At 36.8% G+C, this 5,022-nt stretch overlaps 1 annotated feature.

Annotated features, from left to right (window-relative positions):
* Positions 1-653: an enhancer, noted in NCBI's record as "OCT4-NANOG hESC enhancer chr16:62699049-62699701 (GRCh37/hg19 assembly coordinates)". NCBI's record gives its function as "activates a minimal SCP1, AML or CMV promoter by ChIP-STARR-seq in naive H9 embryonic stem cells {active_cell/tissue: H9 hESC(naive)}" and the evidence as "EXISTENCE:reporter gene assay evidence [ECO:0000049][PMID:30033119]".

The following is a 5,022-nucleotide window of genomic DNA, read 5'->3' as shown; positions in this document are numbered from 1 at the left end:
ATCGCCATCTCCCCTAGGCAATTCCTTGTGTATCTTTCAACGTAATCATGGTTTGAGTCAAAGAAACATGAATAATCCCTTCAAGTAGACAATTTAGCCATAACATCCAGTGATTAGGTTGTTCTATGTGCTTTTACTGATTTTTTTTTTTTTTTTCAGATAAAAGATGAACAGAAAAATGATGATAGTCTTGAGCAATGCATTTCCTCTTCCATTCTGACAGCCTGTGTGTCTGGGCACTTGGCTGGGTTTCTGCCGCCCACATGGAGAATAGAAGCATTTGCATAACACTGTGGGCCTTTGAAATGCCTATTCCAGCTGCATTTCAGAGAAAGCTTACCCCAGCTGTAAAATGAATGCCTCAATCAAGGCTACAGCTGGGTCCTCTCAGTAGAATGGAGTCTTCCTGGAAAAAGAAAGGCCAGAAGGAAGATGTCCTACTGGACCAAAAAAATACATCCTTCATTTTGTCAAAGCCCTGACACAATGGACAAGAATCTACTAAAAGATACTGAGGTCAACATGCATTAAGGGATAGTTCATTTGCACGTAAATTATAGAGGAAACCGAAGGAAATAACAGAAATGACTGTTGGCAATTTGCAGCAGTCATTTTTGTTATGAAACAATAAAGGCCTTCGTTTTTCATAATTTTGTTAATGGAAAACCAAACTCTATAAAATATTTTTAAAAGGTTTACTCTAAGCCAATATGAGTGATTGTGGCCCAGAGAAAAATACAAAACCAAGAAGTCTTGAGTAAGTAGTTCCAAGGCAGCCGAGTTACAGTTTGGTTTCACACATTTAAGGGAGATAGGAGTTCCTGTCAAAGACATAAACTAATACATGTAAGGTAAACATTCGTTGGGCCTGAAAAGGCCGGACGTTTCAGTGGGGGCTTACAAGTCATAGGTGGGTTTTAGGGATTTCTTAGTCAACAGTTGACTGAGAGAGTTAAACTATTGTCTAAAGACCTGAAGTCAGTACAAAGGAATGCTTGAGTAAACAAAATTAGGTTGGCCAGGTGCAATGGTTCACATCTATAATCCTGGCACTTTCAGAGGCCAAGGTGTGCAGATCACTTCTGCCCAGGAATTAGAGGCCAGCCTGGGCAACATGATGAGACCCCCATCTCTACAAAAAATACAAAAAAAAAAAATTAGCTGGGCATGGTGACATGTGCTTGTAGTCCCAGCTACTCAGGAGGCTGACAAGGGAGTATATCTTAAGCCTAGGAGGTTGAGGCTGCAGTCAGCCATCATCATGTCACTGAACTCCAGACTGGCCAACAGAGCAAGACTTTGTCTCAGAAAAAAAAAAATAAAAAGTAAAAAAATAAAAAATAAAAGGGTTGTGAGGACCAAGGCTCTTGTTATGTAGATAAAGCCTCAAAGGTCTCAGCCCTCAGAGAGAATAGGTCTCCTTTCAGAGCTAAAGGTGTCAAGACTATCAGTTAATCTATTCTTGATCCCAGAAAGGCCTAAAAAGGGAATGCCTGGATGCATTAATGATGATTCTGTATAGACATAAATTTCCCCCACAAAAGATGGCTTTGCAGGGCCATTTCAAACTATGATAAATAAACATATTTTGGGGTAAAGTATTTTGATTTCCTTCATGATCTGCTATCTTCCATATGATGCTTTACCAGAGTCAGCTTGAAAAGTAAGTCATATTTTACTGGGTTAATTGAAAAGGTCCATTTAACAATATTTTATGGTTTGTAGGGTGTGACTAAATTCTTTCCTTGCACAGCTTTAGGTCTTGGTAATTATTTATATTTATAATTTTGTATTTTATTGACACAAGGAGTTTGTTTGGTCAGTTTTATTATCTCTATTTTAACCAAAATGCTGGTCAGTTGTGCCTAAACTCCAAAAGGGTGGGGATATAAGGGAGTGTGTTTGACCTCCTTTCTTATCCTGGCCAGTGGCCAGGAATTCAGTTTTTAAGGTTTTTTGGGGTCCCCCTGGCCACGAGGGGTCCATTCAGTCAGTTGCAGGGCTTAAGATTGTTATATTGGTTTACAACTTTTTGCATTTACATACAAAACCAGTGGGTTCATTTATTTTGATAAAATGGTGAGCTCTTCAGTGGGTTTAATTTCATGTGGTATATATGTACTGATGTTTTTGAGATGGAAGAAGCCAGACTCAACACAGGCACAAAACAGGAATAAAATTTAGTCACATAGGAAGAAGAAAAGTAAATAATGAAGAAAGTACCTGCCAAAATACAAATTCAGAAATATATAATGAGTATTTATTTTTATTAAATGAGAAACCGATGTATCCTAGACATCTGAAAACCTGAATTTAAATGCCAGGTAATAAATTAAAAAGAAATTTAATCCCAATTGATATAAGTACTTAGAGTAAATTTTCACTTTTCATTACATATAAATGTTTAGGCATTAATTTTTGAATTACTATTTTCCTGTGAAAAGGGACAAATACATTCTATCAAAGATAAAGTAGCAAAAACCCTGAGTTGAATGAACTCAATTGTCATTCTACTTTAATCAACTAGAAAAGTGTTTCTCAAACTTTAGCATGCATAGGATGACACAGGAATCTTGTTAAAACAGATTCTGGGTTATTAGGTCTGGGGTCAGAAGAACCCGAGTTTCTGCTTTTCCATCAAGTGCCTAAGTGAGGTAGATAGTGCTAATCCACAAACCACACTTTAAATAGCAAGGAACTAGATTACTCTCTTCATTAAATTATAATATAAACATAAAATAATTCAATTTTTCAGAAAAATATCGATAAAACATTAGAAAAAGATATATAAAACTGTCAGCTTCTAAATCATATACTTATTAGAAGAAAGGTTATCTATGAGGACTGGCAGGCCTCTGAGGCCAAGCCTGCACATATATATCCAGGTGGCCTGAAGCAACAGAAGAATCACAAAAGATGTGAAAATGGCTGGTTCCTGCCTTAACTGATGACATTATCTTGTGAAATTCCTTCTCCTGGATCAGAAGCTCCTCCACTGAGCACCTTGTGACCCCTGCCCCTGGCCGCAAGACAACAACCCCCTTTGACTGTAATTTTCCACTACCCACCCAAATCCTATAAAACTGCCCCACCCCTAAACTCCCTTTGCTGACTCCTTTTGCGGACTCAGCCCACCTGCACATGGGTGATTAAAAAGCTTTATGGCTCACACAAAGCCTGTTTGGTGGTCTCTTCACACAGAAGCATGTGATGAGGACACAAATTAAGATATAATAATATAGAATAAAGTCAAATTGGCAGTTAGTTTAAATTTTCACTTATATTCAAATTTGTAGCTACTAAAGATATTTTTCCTCCAAATTTAAAAATATATTCACTTGTGTATCTGTATGCAAGAAGTGTTCCTGAAACATGAAGCTAATTATATTAGTGTCACTGGTGGTTTTTATTTATTATTCAATGATAGGAGCCTTTGTGTATGTTCCACACTGGCTCCTCCTCATGGTTGCTTGAAATATGCCTAAACTTTTTCAAAACAGAAGTCAAGTCAGACCTCTCCTTACATTCCCTGGCAGAGTTCACATCGTAGCTACTATGCTTGTGTAATTCCTGATACATGGCTTAACTGTTACCCAATTTCCTTGAATTCTCTGTACCAGTTTCTCTCCTGAACTGGAAAAAAATCTCCTGGGTGAAAGGGTTAAAAAGGGGCAACTGTTCTTAGGTTGTATGCTGGCCCTGCACTGGAAAGATGCTTAATCTTGGAAATGTATAATCTTGGACGATTCTTTGTAATGTGAATGCTAATCTGTAACACTTTCAGTAAATCCAACAATTCTGGAAAGAGCTATGGGTTCAGACCTTTACCACACAAGACTAAGTGCTCACTGACCACTAAGAAGGCAGAACAGAAAGTAGTCTATGCCTTTCCTTGCTGGGAGCAGTGGCTCATGCCTGTAATCCCAGCACTTTGGGAGGTCGAGGCAGGTGGATCACTTAAAGTGAAGAGTTTGTGACCAACCTGGCCAACATGGAGAAACCCCATCTCTACAAGAAATAAAAAAAATTAGCCAGGTGTGTTGGTGTATGCCTGTAATCCCAGCTACTCAGAAGGCTGAGACAGGAAAATCCCTTGAACCTGTGAGGAGGAGGTTGCAGTGAGCCTAGATTGCATCACTGCACTCCAGCCTGGGTGACACAGCCAGACTCTATCTCTAAAAATAAAAGCATTTCCTTGTTGTTCCCTTCTGATGGGTTACAGTGCCAGTTTCACTCCCACTGAAGCCCTGAAATTCTCCTTCCTTAGTATATTTAAACTATTTGCATTTAATTTCAAATTCATTATTTTAGGGCTTAAGTCCACCTTGGTTTTTTTTGTTTCTGTTTGTTCTTTAGTTTTTTATTTGTCTTGCCATTTTTTTTCCTGCCTTTCTGTGTATTATTGGAAGATTTTAAAAATATATATATATATATTTATACTATTTATGAGTATATTTCTTTGTATAGCTTTTTAAGTAGTTGATGAAGTTATTATGTATACACATATATGCGTACATACACATATGCATACATATATATATATATACTCATACATATTTATATAATATTATCAAGTCTATGGGTGTTATCATTTTGCCATTACTAGTGAAATGTATAAATCCTACCTCTATTTACACTTTTTTACTCTCTAAGGATTGTGATATAATTGTATTAAATATTTCCTCTACATACATTTAGAACCATATCAAATAGTATTATAATTATTGCTTCAAGCATCAAATATAATTTAGAAAACTCAAGAGGAGGATAATTTTGCTGAGTTAGTAGGTCTTTTAGCCTTTAAAGCATGTCGTGCCACTTTCTTCTGGTCTCCATGGTTTCTGATAATAAATCTACTGTTATTCAAAGTGTCCCCTAAGGTAAATTATTGTGTCTTTTTACTTTGTCTTTAGTTTTTTACTTTGTCTTTAGTTTTTTACTTTGTCTTTAGTTTTCAGACGATTGACTATGATGTTCTTGGTGTGGATTTTTTAAGGTTTATCCTATTTGGGGTTTACTTAG

The sequence above is a fragment of the Homo sapiens genome, chromosome 16 (genome assembly GCF_000001405.40).
Source record: "Homo sapiens chromosome 16, GRCh38.p14 Primary Assembly".
Lineage (NCBI taxonomy): Eukaryota > Metazoa > Chordata > Mammalia > Primates > Hominidae > Homo > Homo sapiens.
This window is presented reverse-complemented; position numbering and strand designations above follow the sequence as displayed.